The following is a 17,202-nucleotide window of genomic DNA, read 5'->3' as shown; positions in this document are numbered from 1 at the left end:
TGCCAGCTCTTCAAACGTTACCCGAGGGCCCGGACGCTGCTTCCGCAAGGACTAGCCAGTCCGGGTAGGAATTTCCAAGAACATTTATTTCACCATTCTTTAGGTGGTTATGTACAAGTACATACATAACCAGGAGAGCAACCCGGGCCCTCCTGGCCCTCGATTATAAAACTCCGATGGTCAAGACAGGTCCCACCCATCAACCCAATTACACCCTGCCGCTCCACCTTCTACCCGGAAGCCCCGATTAAAACGTTTTAAATAATGAACGGCCTGGCTGGCTTGCAGTTTGAATCCTGGTTTATTTAAGTAGCATTCAGGAGTTATACTGTAAATAAACATCATTATGGCTAATGACTAATTAAAATCACCATTCATTACAAATACCAACCAGGTTAGATAATACTATTAACTATCTTTTCCCCTTCGGTCTGGGGTTCATATTCTTCCTTTTCTGGAAGTCATTTTCATGGATAAAATATTTAGCATTTTTTGTTACCTCTTCCTTCACCAACTGTACTCAACACACTTCTGTAAACAGAGTGAGAACCTGGGTTCATGGACAAGCTCTTTTCCACTTATCTTCGGGTTAAACCAAAACTTTTTCAGCAACTTTGCCCCTGTCCAAGTTTTGCAGAACACCAGCTGCCTCTTCCTGTTCTAGGCATTCTAGGGCTAGATACCTGTGAACGGACTTCAAGCATTAAAGAAGTCATCAGCATTTCCTATACCTCACACACACTCATTTGCCCACCCTGAACTTCACTGACATTAATTTAGGAGCCTGCCTTTTGCCTTTCACATGTTTCTATTTCCCCCACTGTACTGTAAAATAAGATCTGCCCTGACATTAAGAAAAAAGGCAACTGTTAAATTTACTTTTCCCTTTAAATAACGGGATTTTTTCCTTTTCTATAAGATTAGCAAAATATTTCACAATACCTATATTTTTTCCCTTAAATAAAAATGTATGCAAAATTACTATAATAGACATTGCTCAATAGGTGCTGGTAGGTTTATCAGCACACTCTTCCTCCTTTCATTGAAATGCGGAGATTCCCTTGAAGTTGGATACTCTTGAATGCACCATGGAGTCTTTAGAAAGCAACGGTGCCAATTATTAAGTATTGCAGGAAAATTACTTTCTCCTTGAGAGAGGAAGAGTAACAACATTTCTATCATGCTCTGGGTGTTATTTCAATGCCAAATAACTATGAAGCTTGAGGTGGATTACAGAAATTATGAGAATAAGAATTATGAGAATAATTCTTAAAAACAACTTCCGAGGTTAATGTCTTTCAAAACCTGAAAATTAACAGATATCCCCATAAAAAATCCACATTAGCCAAAGAAAAATACTCAGTTTCAATAAAAGCAGAAAGAAAAATGGTTCTATATGAAGTTGAAGTTACACTTGTCAATGCACTAAAATAGTTTTATCCAAATCAACTGAAAAACTGTCTTCATACTATTCATCCAATGTCTAAAGTGAAAATTTAAGTTCTGGTCTTTAGTTTGCTCCCCAAAATACTGTAGCAGGTATTGTCTTGGTAACTCAACGATGGGCTCTATACAGATTCATCAGATTAAAAATAAGCAAGGGCTTCTATCCCATACCCCAATGACAGAATAAAGATCATCTCTGAGCAGCAGGCAGTTATTTAATACAAGGTCACTCCTCAATAGCGTTGGCTGTACCAGTCGTTGTTGTTTAACTGAAGAAGTTCTGTCACAACCTGCAGGATATTGTAATTGTGTTTCTTCAGCAGCCGTAGGTTCAGCTGCCTGTCACAGAATCCCATTTCAAAGAGATGGGCCATCAGGGCTGCTGTCTGATCTTCAGAAATTATTGGCTGTGTAGAGACAAGCAAAGCAAAAAAAAAAAAAAAAATTCTGTATAATTTAAATGTTTATTTTATACATTTGTATCATCTTGCAAGCATACTAGTCTTTCCAGATTTATTCAAAGTACTAGGTAATTAGATTCAAGGCTATGGCACTCCTGTGTACTTGATACCAACGGTTCGGACTGGGAAGGCCCTATTTTAGATTAGTTATCTGTGTACTTGAAGGAGGAGAAAAGGGAAACCGGGGAGCTAATGAACTGTACTTAGAACCAGGAGAATGCTTCACTCGGGGCTTTCAGGAAGAAGCATTTTTTGGCCAGATGAAGGAATGACAGCAAGCCCCAGAGACCCTGTGAACATAAGTGTAATTGTGATGATGGGGGAAGTATGAGCAAGATAAAAGTGTTACTGAAAGATGCTATGGGAAATTTTGTCAGATATGCAGAGGAGCTGGACAAAAAAAACAGCTTGGGAAATTACAACCTGGGAAGGCTTCTTGATTTTTTCTCCTCCAAAAGAATAGGTAAGAGGGGCTGGGTGCGGTGGCTCACACCTGTAATCCCAGCACTTTGGGAGGCTGAGGCGGGCGGATCATGAGGTCAGGAGATTGAGACCATCCTGGCTAACACAGTGAAACCCCATCTCTACTAAAAATACAAAAAATTAGCCAGGCGTGGTGGCAGGCGCCTGTAGTCCCAGCTACTCGGGAGGCTGAGGCAGGACAACGGCGTGAACCCAGGAGGTGGAGCTTGCAGTGAGCCGAGATCGCGCCATTGCACTCCAGCCTGGGTGACAGAGCGAGACTCCATCTCAAAAAAAAAAAAACAAGAATAGGTAAGAGGAAGTTAACATTCATTCATTCAAGCCCTGTGGTGGAAGCATTACCTTCCTAAATCCTTAAACGCTTGTTTTGTTGTTGTTGTTGTTTTGTTTGTTTTTTGAGACAGGGTGTCACTCTGTTCCCCAGGCTGGTGTGCAGTGGTGTGAACACAGCTCATTGCAGCCTCAACCTCCTGGGCTCAAGTGATCCTCCTGCCTCAGCCTTCCAAATAGCTGGGACCACTGGTCTGCGCTACCACGCCCGGCAAATTTTTAAATTTTTTACTAGAGATGAGGTTTCCCTATGTTGCCCAGGCTGGTCTTGAACTTCTGGGCCCAAGTGATCCTTGAACTTTGGTCTCCCAAAATGCTGGGATTATAGATGTGAGCCACCTCGCCTGGCCTCTGGTTCTGTTATTATCCCAATTTCACAGACTGGGGATACTGAAACTGTGCAGCAGAAAGATTATTAACTTGGGAGGCAGATAGGCTTAGACTCAAACCCTAATCTTCCATTTACTTACCAACTGTGCTATCAATTCCTTTATGAACTGAAGATATATCATACCTCCTACTTTGCAGGGTTGTTGAAAAAGTATGTAAAGATGAGAACAGTATGCAAACATGTTAAGCATTTCCCTCCAAACCTGATTCCACTGTTCCATTCTACCTTCTTATTTCAGAATAGATTATCCATCCTCCTTTGCAGGTTAATGGAATGTACCTTGCATTGTATCTTATTACCTCTCACCACTTCAGAAATCTTTCTCCATCTCCAATCTGTCTTCTCATCTTTATCATTAACCTCTTTCACTGCTGGCTTGCCCATCTCTAAAGTCTCACCCAACTTTAAAAATGCTTCCTCTTGTCTTATGTATCCTAGCTTCTGCCTGTTGTAGCCTGTCTATTTGAAAGTGTGGCATACTTCTACTCTCAAATTCCTCACCACCAGTTCATATCTCTCTGTAGCATCTAACACCGTTGACCATGTCCCCCTTATTAAAACACCCTTCCTTAAGTTCCAGCATAGAACTCTCTCTCTTCATTTTCCTCCTAGTTCCCAGCTTTCTTTCAGAGTATTCCTTTCCCTGATCCTTAAAGGTTGCTTCTTGCTTTCCCCATTATTCCTGGATCATCTCATTCCATCAGATGGCTTCTGCTATAATCTGTAGGCAAGTGACTCTCAAGCATGTATCACCAGGCCAAATCCCTCCCCTGTGATCTGGATGGATACCGTTGGCTTGCCATTATCTGTGGGTTCCTCATCTATGGATCAGTCACCAAAGGACTGAAAATATTTGGGGAGAAAAAAAGGAACACGTACAAACTTTTTTGTCATTATTCCCGAATACCGTATAACAACTATTCAGATAGCATTTACATTGTATTGGGTATTGTAAGTAATGTAGAGATGAAGTATATGAGATGGGCTGGGTGCAGCGGCTCAAGTTTCTCATCCCAGCAATTTGGGAGGCTGAAGTGGGAGGATTGTTTTGAGGCCAGGAGTTAGTTGCCCTAGGCAACACAGTGAAACCCCATCTCTTCAAAAAGATTTTTAAAAAACTAGCTAGGCATGGTGGTGCCCACCTGTAGTCCCTGCTACTCAAGAGGCTGAGGTGAGAGGATTGCTTGAATCCAAGAGTTCTAGGCTGCAGTGAGCTACAATCTAGTTATTGCACTCCAGCCTGGATGACAGAGCAAGACCCTGTATCTAAAAAACTAAAACTAAACAAGCAAGCAAGAAGATGTGCCTAGGTTATATATAAATACTACACTATTTTATATAAGGGACTTAAGCATCTATGGATTTCAGTATCCCACAGGGGGTCCTGGAGCCAACCGTCATAGATACTGAGGGACAACTATATATCCAGCTGCACTCTGGATATCTTTACCTTTACCTGGATATGCCACAAACTCAACACTGTCCAGCAAAACTGACCTAGTTCTCTTCTTCTGCTCTTAATGAATGGTACTAAGCCAGAAACTTGGGATTTATCCTTGACTTTTTCCCCTCCACCCCAAGATAGTGTCTGGCTTTGTTGCCCAGGCTGGAGTGCAGTGGCATGACCTCAGCTCACTGCAGCCTCTGCCTCTGGGGCTCAAGCTATTCTCCCACCTAAGCCCCCCAAGTAGCTGGGACTACAGGTGTGCGCCACCAAGTCCGGCTAATTTCTTTGTATTTTTTGTAGAGATAAGGTTTCACTATGTTGCCCAGGCTGGTCTCAAACTCCTGAACTCAAGTGATCTGCCCACCTTGGCCTCCCAAAGTGCTGAAATTACAGATGTGAGCCACCGTGCCCAGCCTATCCTTCTTTTTAGCCACTTAATCATCATCTCAAAGTTATGCCATTTCCATCTCTTAATTATCTTTTCTACCCTTCCTTTCCACCAATACATGGATTCTCTTAGGGATTTCCTTTTTTTTTTTTTGAGACGGAGTCTCGCTCTGTCACCCAGGCTGGAGTGCAGTGGCATGATTTCAGCTCACTGCAACCTCTGCTTCCCAGGTTCAAGCAATTCTTCTGCCTCAGACTCCCGAGTAGCTAGGACTACAGGCACGTGCCACCACGCCCGGCAATTTTTGTATTTTTAGTAGAGATGTGGTTTCACCATATTGGCCAGGCTGGTCTTGAACTCCTGACCTCGTGATCTGCCCGCCTCGGCCTCCCAAAGTGCTGGGATTACAGGCATGAGCCACCACGCCCAACTGGATTTCTTTACTGGCTCTACCAGCCTCTACAATGTAGCCGGTAATCTTACTAAAAACAGATCTCATCATGTCAATCACTTCCTTAAAACCCTTCAATTGCTCCTCCTATTAATTAGCCTTAAAATAAAATCCAAACCTCATAACACAGCATCCTGCCTACATATTTGGTCTGTTTTTCTTTTTCTTTTTTTTTTTTTTTGAGACAGAGTCTCGCTCTGTCACCCAGGCTGAAGTGCAGTGGCGCAATCTCGGCTCACTGCAACATCCGCCTCCCAGGTTAAAGCGATTCTCCTGCCTCGGCCTCCTGAGTAGCTGGGATTACAGGCACGTCACCACGCCTAGCTAATTTTTGTATTTTTAGTAGAGATGGGGTTTCACCATGTGGGTCAGGCTGGTCTCGAACTCCTGACCTCATGATCCACCCGCCTCAGCCTCCCAAAGTGTTGAGATTACAGGCGTGAGCCACCACACCCAGCCTTTTTTTTTTTTTTTTTTTTGAGACATGGTCTCACTCTGTCACCCACATTGGAGTTCAGTGGTGTGATCTCAGCTCACTGCAACCTCTGCCTCCCGGGCTGAAGTGATCTTCCCACCTCGGCCTCTTGAGTATCTGGGACCACAGGCGTATACCACCATGCCCAGCTAATTTTTTATGTTTTTAGTAGAGACAGGGTTTTGCCCTGTTGCCCAAACTGGTCTTGAACTCCTGGACGCAAATAATCGACCAGCCTTGGCCTCCCAACCTGTTGGGATTACAGGTGTGAGCCACCAAGCCCAGCCAGTCTTTTTTCGTCTTACTCCTCTTCTTAGACCGGATTCACACTCCATGCTCACATTTCCAAGTCTTTTTTACTGGCTACACTGTCTACAATACCCTTTCCCTCCCTCTTTCCTGATGAACATTTACTCCGTCCTTTAGGACTCAGTTCAGGCATCATCTACCAGAAAGCCTTACTTGGGCACACCAGGCTGAAGTGTTTCATCTGTCTGATAGCACTGGCATAGTATCTTTCTTTTTTTTGAGATGGAGTCTCACTCTGTTGCCCAGGCTGGAGTGCAGTAGCACAATCTCAGCTCACTGCAACCTCCACCTCCCAGGTTCAAGTGATTCTCCTGCCTCAGCCTCCCAAGTAGCTGGGATTACAGGCACACATCACCATGCCTGGCTAATTTTTGTATTTTTAGTAGAGACGGGGTTTCATCATGTTGGCCAGGATGGTCTCGAACTCCTGACCTCACGATCCGCCCGCCTCAGCCTTCCAAAGTGCTGGGATTACAGGCATGAGCCACCACACCCGGCCAGCATAGTATCTTACTATGTACTTTAAGTATCCATGCACCTCACTTGTTTCCCATAGTTTCTGGGCAAGACTCAGTGTCTTTTTTGTTGTTGTTTTTTGAGACAGGGTCTCGCTCAGTCACCCAAGCTGGAGTGCAGTGGCTCCATTGTGGCTCACTACGGCAGCCTCAACCTCCGGTGCTCAAGTGATCCTCCCACCTTAGTTTCCCAAGTAACTGGGACTGTAGGTGCATGCCATCATACTTTTTTTTTTTTTTTTTTAAGATGGAGTCTTGTTCTGTCGCCAGGCTGGAGTGCTGTGGTGCCATCTCGGCTCACTGCAAGCTCTGACTCCCTGGATCAAGCAATTCTCCTGCCTCAGCCTCCCGAGTAGCTGGGACTACAGGTGCCTGCCACCACGCCCAGCTAATTTTTGTATTTTTAGTAGAGACAGGGTTTCACCATGTTGGCCAGGATGGTCTCGATCTCCTGACCTTGTGATCCGGCCTGCCTCGGCCTCCCAAAGTGCTGGGATTACAGGTGTGAGCCACTGTACCGGCCATACTTATCTAATTTTTAAATTTTTTTGTAGAGATGGGGGTCTCACTATGTTGCCCAGGCTGGTCTCAAACTCCTGGGCTCAAGCAATCCTCCCACCTTGGCCTCCCAAAGTACTAGGATTACAGGTAAGAGCCACCATACCCGGCCAAGAACTGGTGTTTTATTCATGCCATAGTGCCAACACCTGGAATAGCTTCTCTCTATAGAAAATATTAATAGATCATCAATAATACATTCTTCTCTTTTCTTCCCTTAAGTAACTTGGCTAAAGTCATATAGTTAGAAAGTGGCAGAGTTGGCCAGGTGCGGTGGCTCACACCTGTAATCCCAGCACTTTGGGAGGCTGAAGCGGGAAGATCATGAAGTCACGAGATTGAGACCATCCTGGCTAACACGGTGAAACATCGTCTCTACTAAAAAATACAAAAAATTAGCCGGGTGTAGTGGCAGGCGCCTGTAGTCCCAGCTACTCGGGAGGCTGAGTCAGGAGAATGGTGTGAACCCAGGAGGTGGAGCTTGCAGTGAGCCGAGATCGCGCCACTGCACCCCAGCCTGGGCAACAGAGCGAGACTTCGTCTCAAAAAAAAAAAAAAAAAGTGGCAGAGTTGTGTTGTGTGTTAACTAAAGACTAAATCTAAAGCCTATGCCCTTTCCACAATGCCATGTTACTCTTCAACCCAGACAGATGCCATCACTTTCACTGGTGACATGGAGTTGAGATTCAGGAAAATAAAACACACACACTGACCTGTGCAGTGACTGGTGGCCCAGCAAACAGGGCCTTGTATGCAGAGGCAGCAACAGACAAAGCCCCCTTCACCAGTCCTCCAGCAATGCTGCTCCCATGATGGTGCCTGCAGAGGAAAACCAAATTATCTCCCCAAACAAACACAAATCATTACCTTTTTACAAGATAATCTGGGCTCTAATCCTTGGAATAAGATTTCCTTAAGAGAAAAAATTAGATGGAAAAAGAGAACACAATTGCTTTCATTATCAGCTTTATAGCTACAGATCATGGTTTGATGGAGGGCCCAGCTCTACTGGTGCAAGCAAGATAGGGGCACTGCAGGAAACACACCACTCTGGTAACCATGATGGCTCTCACTCCTAGCTGAAAATTAATGTGATCGAGGACACACAAGGATATCAACAGTTTGTCTGCTCAATTATTCTCTCAGAGAAAACACCTTGCAAAGGAAATGTGATTTTCTGGACACTGGCCTAATATGAGTGGAAGCAGAGAACCAGGTATGTCCAAGAAAAAATTATTTAAATGTATACTGGGCTTAACCTTTCTACCTTTTCCCCAGTGCTAAGAGTGAGGTAATTTGTGGACACTATTTCCTTGTCTGAAACATAAAACACTCTTTTTTTTTTTTGATGTTGTTTCACTTGTCAGCCAGGCTGGAGTGCAATGGTGCAATCTCAGCTCACTGCAACCTCCGCCTCCTGGGTTCAAGCAATTCTCCCACCTCAGCCTCCTGAGTAGCTGGGATTACAGGTGCCCGCCACCATGCCTGGCTAATTTTTGTATTTTTAGTAGACATGGGGTTTCGCTATGTTGGCCAGGCTGATCTTGAACTCCTGACCTCATGATCCACCCGCCTCGGCCTCCCAAACAGAACACTCTTAAACATCAGCTTTAGCCGTTTGTTCAGTGTTGCTCAAAGCCTTTAGAAGAAACAAGAATAAGACGGAACAAAGGCTCCCCTTCTCTGCTCTCTGAAGATGGGTACATACTGTGAGAGGCTCTTTTAAGCAGAAGGAATACAAGAATATCCACCTGCTTCTGAAAAAAGAGACTGCACAAGGTTGTTACCTTGAGTGGTCATAGCTCTTCTGTCTGCTGTTTACAAGTCCTGATGAGCCTCTGGGCTCTAAAAGCAAAAGAGCTGTTGGTTAGATGCAGCATCCATAAGCACCTACTGTTTCCTAACTCACAGCAAGGCTATTATTGAGGCAGGTGGCAATCTGATCACAGTGTTTGAAGTCTTTTTTTTTTTTTTTTAAAGTATTTGGGAAGTTTTAAGGGTAGTTTAAGTGATAAGGAGAAACTGTCCAGAAATGCAATGCAAGATGATTGTTTATTGAATCAGAAAAATCAACTCTATAATCCTAACACACTGATATATTTTGTAGTAAGAAAACAGACTCACAGCCATTAGAAACCTGCTGAACTGCTAGTCAGGAAAGGGGGAGATGGAGCTGGAACCTAGATTGTTTGGCTCCAAAGCCTGTGTTCTTTCCACTACCTCTATGAGGTCTAACAATATATTCAGCCAGAGAATAGAAATTAGAGTATGCAGGAGGAGCATGGAGAGAGTGAAGGGCAAGTTTTTTTTTTTTTTTTTTCAGACGGAGTCTCGCACTGTTGCCCGGGCTGGAGAGCAATGGTGCGATCTCGGCTCACTCCAACCTCCGCCTCCCAGGTTCATGTGATTCTCCTGCCTCAGCCTCCCAAGTAGCTGGGATTACAGGTGCCCGCCACCATGCCTGGTTAATTTTTGCTATTTTTTAGTAGAGACAGGGTTTCACTATGTTGGCCAGGCTGGTCTCGAACTCCTGACCCTATGATCCGCCTGCCTTGGCCTCCCAAAGTGTTGGGATTACAGGTGTGAGCCACCACGCCTGGCCTGTGAAGGGCAAGTTTCAAAAAACCACCAAGAATCACGAAGAGAGAGAGGCTATTTATACCTGGTTTCCATTAGACAGGAGCAGAGAAAAAGAGAAAAAGCTTAGGCTGATCATTACCTCCTCTGATCTGATCAGGGACTGAAGAAACTTCTGGTATGGTAACTGGTAAATCCACTCCTGGGGAACCATGATGATGTACACAAGGAGAGCTCCTTTCAGAAAGACACAATATGGAAAGTAAATTGAAAAGGCACTTATGGCAACAGTGGAGAAATAGTAAACACAGCACAGCAGTGCCAAATTCTCTACAGAGGCTTCACATTTCTGATCCAGATCACATGTCTGGATTTAGGGTTCCATCATAAGGGCTACATTCTACCCCATTTTCCTCTTTAGCCACAGGCAAGCTAGAAATGTTGGCTTCAGTCTGGTCATGTCCCCACCTATATCAAGTGGTGTCAATAAACGGAAATGTCTAGCTTTTGGGGAGAATGGTTTACATTATAGTCAAGGCTCCAGCATTTTCCCTACTATTAGGAGACAAGAATGATTCAGATAGATTCACCAGAGAATTAAAAATAATTAGTTTGGTTTTATAGTGTTTTTTCCCATAATGGATTTAACTTCCTAATTATGACTGTTTGGGTTGAGTTTTTGCTGCCTTTACTGAAGAGTCAATAAAACAAGGAGGGAAGGTCCAGGGATGTTTGTGTTTAAAAACTGGCTCTCAGCCAGGCATAGTGGCTCACACCTGTAATTCCAGCATTTTGGGAGACCCAGGCAGTTGGATCGCTTAAGGCCAGGAGTTCAAGACCAGCCTGGACAACGTGGCAAAACCCCGCTTCTACAATAAATACAAAAATTAGCTAGGTGTGGTGGCCCATGCCTATAGTCCCAGCTACTCAGGGGGCTGAGGTGGGAAGATTGCTTGAGCCTCAGAGGCAGAGGTGGCAGTGAGCCAAGATTGTGCCACTGCACTCCAGCCTGGGCAACAGACTGAGACCCTGTCTCAAAAAAAAAAAAAAAAAAACACAACCAGCTCTCAATAATCAAAATATAAGCAGACAGACTATACTCAGATAATTTAAGGCCAACTAAAACAAATATTTCTTTAAATCCAGAATCCACAAATACTGGGAAATACAACTTTTATTCATCTAAATTCAGACTTTGCTATGGAAAATAGTCTCTTTCCATACTGAGGAAAAAACAGGTTTTGAGATCAGGTCGATTCCTCTCTTTATTTCACCTCTGAAGAACACCCCAGCTGAGGGGGCTGTGAGTGGTACCTGGGCAGTGACGGTGGAAGCTCCACTACCTCTGGGATTAGGGGCACTGTTTCCAGAGTCTGTGAGGTCGTGAGGATGTCACTTATGCTGTGCTCCTGTGGCTGGTTCTCCCCTCCAGGGAGTCTTTCCCCAGCCTCAGCTGGTTCCTGCCCAGCCTCAACCCCAGGCTTGCCTTCAGCACCTCGCTCCAGGCCTGGCTGTGAGAGCGCAGAGCTGTACATAGAATCCCCCAGGGGGCGGCTGGTATCAAAGCACTCAGGCAGGATGATGATGTAATCCTCTGAGGAAGCAGAGGACTGACTTTGAACTTCATCTTTGAGCTCATCCTCCTCCTCCTCATCCTCCTCATCCTCCTCCTCCTCCATGACAGCTTCTTCCTCAGCGATATGGATAATCTCCTCCTTCTCATTTCCAAGTGGTCCTTCAGGCAAGGCAAATGTCACTAAAGGATGAAAGCAACCAATTTTAAGGTGGAAGCTAAAAGCAGGCCTAAGTACTATCCTTACTTGGTAAAGCCTTGTGGATCATAAGCTAGAATTATGAAAGCCAGAGGAGAGGGAAGAACTAAAGGGAAGGGCTGGTTCTGGAACTATGACCATATTCTAAGTTTGAAGACTATGCAAAACAAAATAGAATCAAAGCTCACAGAAACAAGGTAGGCAGAAACACTCAGGTTTCCAAGAAGCTCTATGAATCATAAAAGGAGGCAGCTCCATCCCTTTTTTCCTTTTTATGTGATGGTTAATATACTGAGTAGAGTTTAAACCAAAACTGATACACTAACAGTGCTATAAAAAGAGAAAAAGTTAGGAGATGAGTATTGCAGGATTATATGTCTATCTCCTCCTCTTCTTTACAAAGATGATGCAGTCATGGGAGAAAACTGGCCAATCATGTTTGAGAGGGTAAAAAAGGATAGAAAAAAGCTACCCAGGGCCAGGCACGGTGGCTCACGCTTGTAATCCCAGCACTTTGGGAGGCCAACGTGGGCAGATCATGAGGTCAGGATATCAAGGCCATCCTGGCTAACACGGTGAAACCCCATCTCTACTAAAAATACAAAAAAATTACCCGGGCATGGTGGCGGGCGCCTGTAGTGCCAGCTACTCGGGAGGCTGAGGCAGGAGAATGGTGTGAACCTGGGAAGGCGGAGGTTGCAGTCAGCCGAGACCGCGCTGCTGCACTCCAGCCTGGGTGACAGAGACTGTGTCCCAAAAAAAAAAAAAGCTACCCAGGCCAGGTGTGGTGGCTTACGCCTAAAATCCCAGCACGTTGGGAGGCCAAGGCAGGCAGACTGCTTGAGCTCAGAAGTTTGGGACCAGCCTGGGCAACGTGGCGAAATCCCATCTCTACAAAAAAAAAAAAATTTAGCTCATTGTGGTAGCATGTGGCTGTGGTCCCAGTTGCTTGGGAAACAGAGGTAGGGGGACCCCAGGATGTTGTGGCTGCAATGAGCCATAAACTTGCTACTCGCACTTTAGCCTGGGCGAGTGAGACCTTATCTCAAAAAAAAAAAAAAAATTACCCATAAATCCTATCAGAATAACAGCTGTGAACATTTTGGTACTGTCTTTCCAGACCTTTTTGTTATGTATTTGTACACACATGTGGAAAAAAATATAAAGATATACATGACTGATTGATTTGAGATGGAGTCTCACTCTGTTGCCCAGGCTGAAGTGCAGTAGCATGATCTCAGCTCACTGCAAGCTGCACCTCCCAGGTTCACGCCATTCTCCTGCCTCAGCCTCCCGAGTAGCTGGGATTACAGGTGCGCCCGCCACCACACCCAGCTTATTTTTTGTATTTTTAGTAGAGATGGGGTTTCACCGTGTTAGCCAGGATAGTCTTCATCTCCTGACCTCATGATCCGCCCACCTCGGCCTCCCAACGTGCTGGGATTACAGGTATGAGCCACCGCACCTGGCCACATGTACACTTTATTATTTTTTTTTTTTAGACGGAGTCTCGCTCTGTCACCCAGGCTGGAGTGCAGTGGTGCGATCTCAGCTCACTGCAACCTTGGCTTCCCGGGTTCAAGCAGTTCTCCTGCCTCAGCGTCTTGAGTAGCTGGATCACAGGCACACGCTACCACGCCCAGCTAATTTTTGTATTTTTAGTAGAAATGGGGTTTCTCCATGTTGGTCAGGCTGGTCTCAAACTCCTGAGCTTGTGATCTGTCCGCCTCGGCCTCACAAAGTGCTGGGATTACAGGCGTGAGCCACTGCGCCTGGCCTTACATGTATACTTTAAACAAAAGTAAGATAAATAATATTTAAAGATATAGGTCAAATTTGATTATAATAAAGAGATTCTCCAATATTATTTTGACATAGTATATTTGAATTTTTGGATACTTCTTAAAATATATGCTATTGGTTCTATCTATCTGATACCTAGAAGTTTCTGTTATAAAGGTATTTATTCCTTTTTTTTTTTTTGAGACGGAGTTTCACTCTTGTTGCCAGGCTGGAGTGCAATGGCGCCATCTCGGCTAACCACAGCCTTCGCCTCCCGGGTTAAAGTGATTCTCCTGCCTCAGCCTCCCAAGTACCTGGGATTACAGGCATGTAATCCTTGGCATGTAGCCACCACACCTGGCTAATTTTTAGTATTTTTAGTAGAGATGGGGTTTCTCCATGTCGGTCAGGCTGGTCTCGAACTCCCAACCTCAGGTGATCCACCCGCCTCAGCCTCATAAAGTGCTAGGATTACAAGGGTGAGCCACTGTGCCCGGCCTATAAAGGTATTTATTACAGCAGAATTTAACCTTGAGAAACTTTGTTGGTACTCCTGCTTCTATCCACTGTTTCTGGGACTGCTGCCCTTGGAGAAAGCAGACAACTCAGCTACCCATAGGGGTCTCTGCTAAGGAGCTCTGTCAAATTACAGGAAGATTCCTTACTGCAGAATCCAGGCAGCACAACTGGCTGCTATTCCACTGTGGAATGCAGCTGTAATTCTGCCCCTGAGAAGATGGAGAAATGAGTATGATGGCTTCTTTACTCCTGATGCTCTAATTAGAACAGTCAGGTAGCATACGTAGAGTCTAAAGACACAAACAAGATCAGAATTTCTTTTTTTTTTTTTGAGATGGAGTCTCGCTTTGTCGCCCAGGCTAGAGTGCAGTGGCGCAATCTTGGCTCACTGCAAGCTCCGCCTCCCGGGTTCATGCCATTCTCCTGCCTCAGCCTCCCGAGTAGCTGGGACTACAGGCACCCGCCACGTCGCCAGGCTAATTTTTTGTATTTTTAGTAGAGATGGGATTTCACCATGTTAGCCAGGATGGACTTGATCTCCTGACCTTGTGATCCGCCTGCCTTGGCCTCCCAAAGTGCTGGGATTACAGGCTTGAGCCACCACGCCCCGCCAAGATCAGAACTTCTAACTAAGATCACTCTCCCTTCAGTCTCAGTGAAGAAGAGCACATCTAACTAGTCAAGTCTGGCAGTCACAATTCAGGTGCCACCCTGCTAGGTAGGGGAAATGCAAGGACACTCACTCTGCAAGGACTTCTGTCTGCAAGGAGGGTTGTGGTCTGGGGCAGCATCCAAGGTAAGGGATCGGATTACTGTCTCACACACAAACTGGGTCCCACTCAGGTCTTCTTCTGCTTCCTCCACAGAAGCAATGTTCTCAGCCTTCCTCTTTACTGACACCATAGAATCTGAAAGACACACGAACCTTATCTGCACTGGGTGTTTAAAGTGCTGAGGAACATTCACCAGTCATTACCCATGCTAAAACTAAACCAAGGAATAGCTGCTATCTAAACTTTGTCTGCACTTGGTGTTTAAAGTGCTGAAGAACATTCACCAGTCATTACCCATGCTAAAACTAAACCAAGGAATAGCTGCTATCTGTGCCATGTGAAGGTGAGGAGACTTCAAAACATGAGATGCTACAGAAAGCAAGCCCATTTACATGCTAAGGTAGGGTCAGTAGGGGATAGCTGTAAAATAGGGTATGATATGGAAAGGGAGGATGCAAATACTTTACAAATGTTTAATCCCTTACCAGGAAGTGCTTTAAATCCTGCCCCTTCATTCTCTTCCTCTATCTGCCCCAAGCCTGGCTTCTCTATTAAAGGACTGTCATGTGGCAGAGGAGACATGCAGGGAGTCACATCTGGAGAATGAAGACAGGAGAACCATCAATCAAGAGAAAGCATCATATCATCAACAGTCAGTGTCCAGAAGTAGCAGTTTGTAGGCTTCTTGCCTCCCGCAGGGCTAAAATAAACCAAGATATGCTTTGAGGTCTGTTACAAAAAATTTCTCCAGACCAATAAGTAAGCAAAATATCTCAGATCAATCAATGCAGGAAGAATCACAGTTATTTAGCCTGGAAAGCTGTGGCCAAGACACAAAACCATGAACATAAAGGAACAAAAGGACACAAGTATCTAGAGGGAAAAAAGAGAAGAGGATTCCTTTATAGTGGAAAAGCCTTGCACGAACTTGTTTTATTGCTTTTTTTTTTTTTTTTGAGATGCAGTCTTGCTCTGTCACCCAGGCTAGAATGCAGTGGCACAATCTCGGCTCACTGCAACCTCCGCCTCCCAGGTTCAAGCAACTCTCTGCCTCAGCCTCCCGAGTAGCTGGGATTACAGGCACCTGCCACCATGCCTGGCTAATTTTTGTATTTTTAGTAGAGATGGGGTTTCACCATCTTGGCCAGGCTGGTCTTGAACTTCTGACCTTGTGATCCACCAGCCTTGGCCTCCCAAAGTGCTGGGATTACAGGCGTGAGCTACCGTGCCCAGCCTCTTTTTTTTGTTTGTTTTTTGAGATTGGGTTTCACTCTGTCATCCAGGCTGGAGAGCAATGGCACAATCCTGGCTCACTGCAGCCTCTGCCTCCTGGGATCAGGAGATTCTCCCACTTCAGTCTCCCTGGTAGCTGGGACCACAGGTGCAGGCCACCATGCCAAGCTAATTTTTTTTTTTTTTTTTTTTGAGACGGAGTTTTGCTCTTGTTGTCCTGGCTGGAGTGCAATGGTGCAATCTCAGCTCACCACAACCTCCGCCTTCTGGGTTCAAGCAATTCTCCCGCCTCAGCCTCCCGAGTAGTTCGGATTACAGGCATGTGCCACCATGCCCAGCTAATTTTGTATTTTTAGTAGAGAAGGGGTTTCTCCATGTTGGTCAGGCTGGTCTCAAACTCCCGACCTCAGGTGATCTGCCCGTCTCAGCCTCCCAAAGTGCTGGGATTACAGGCGTGAGCCACCGTGCCTGGCCACACCCAGCTAATTTTTAAAAGTAATTTTTGTAGAGATGGGGGTTTCACCATGTTGCCCAGGCTGGTCTCAAACCCTGGCCTCAAGTGATCCTCCTGCCTTGGCCTCCCAAAGAGCTGGGATTATAGACACGAGCCACCATGCCCAGCATGTTGTTACTTTTGACAAAGGACAGGAAAGAAGAAAAACGGATCCATGATTGCTGCTTTACTATCCTACTGTGGGAGAAATCCTTGCCATTTCCTCAGAATAAAACACTACCAGTGTCTAGGCTGTGGTACTTTTGTGCCTATTAGTAAGACGAACAAGATGAAATGAGTGACATTCTTACCCACAGGGGTGTTGTGGGGCACTCTCTCCAACTCTTGAACAATGTTTATATCCAACAGCTCAAAGGACAGCAGGTCCTATAAAAAAAGACAATGTTAGGCTGTTTGGAGTGCATGCTGGAGCCATGTCTTGATGGGACCTGTAGACCATTTCCACATCATTTCGTATTCAACTCTGTTCAAATTCATGCCTGTCCCCAGACAAGTGAAAACAAGAAGAGTTAAATGGGAATTAGATGTTGAAATAACCCAATAGCAGGAAAGAGAAAATGCAGCAGGTATGAAGGAGAATTAGCTAGGCCAAGGTGAAGAGGCAACTAAAGGGAGTTTGTGGGGAAGTACAGGATTGAGTTCCCAATTCAAAGAGGAAACATCTAGTTTACAAACTTGCTTCCATGGGTGATCTCCTTCCCATTAAATATACCTGACTAGATCAAAGTGGGCATATCTCTGATTTCCTGATTACTGCCTATGGCTCTACCACCTTCTC

General features: G+C 45.1%; 1 protein-coding gene across 9 annotated transcripts in view; it reads right to left on the bottom strand.

The window, feature by feature from the left end:
- The window catches only part of NBR1 (NBR1 autophagy cargo receptor), a 41,280-nt gene continuing 24,143 nt past the window's right edge, over positions 66-17,202 (bottom strand). For 7 of the 9 annotated variants that reach the window (XM_011524813.3, XM_017024643.3, NM_031862.4 and 4 more), the window contains 8 exons: positions 16,715-16,790; positions 15,163-15,273; positions 14,648-14,812; positions 11,146-11,587; positions 9,974-10,068; positions 9,042-9,099; positions 7,968-8,073; positions 66-1,853 (listed from right to left, as the gene is read on the bottom strand). In XM_011524813.3, coding sequence (XP_011523115.1) covers positions 1,680-1,853; positions 7,968-8,073; positions 9,042-9,099; positions 9,974-10,068; positions 11,146-11,587; positions 14,648-14,812; positions 15,163-15,273; positions 16,715-16,790 — 1,227 coding nt within the window. In that variant the 3' untranslated portion in view covers positions 66-1,679. Of the gene's footprint in view, positions 1,854-1,891; positions 2,198-7,967; positions 8,074-9,041; positions 9,100-9,973; positions 10,069-11,145; positions 11,588-14,647; positions 14,813-15,162; positions 15,274-16,714; positions 16,791-17,202 lie in introns of those variants that run through there. The other 2 variants (NM_001291571.2, NM_001291572.2) reach the window with 2 other exon arrangements.

Source organism: Homo sapiens, chromosome 17 (genome assembly GCF_000001405.40).
Source record: "Homo sapiens chromosome 17, GRCh38.p14 Primary Assembly".
Lineage (NCBI taxonomy): Eukaryota > Metazoa > Chordata > Mammalia > Primates > Hominidae > Homo > Homo sapiens.
This window is presented reverse-complemented; position numbering and strand designations above follow the sequence as displayed.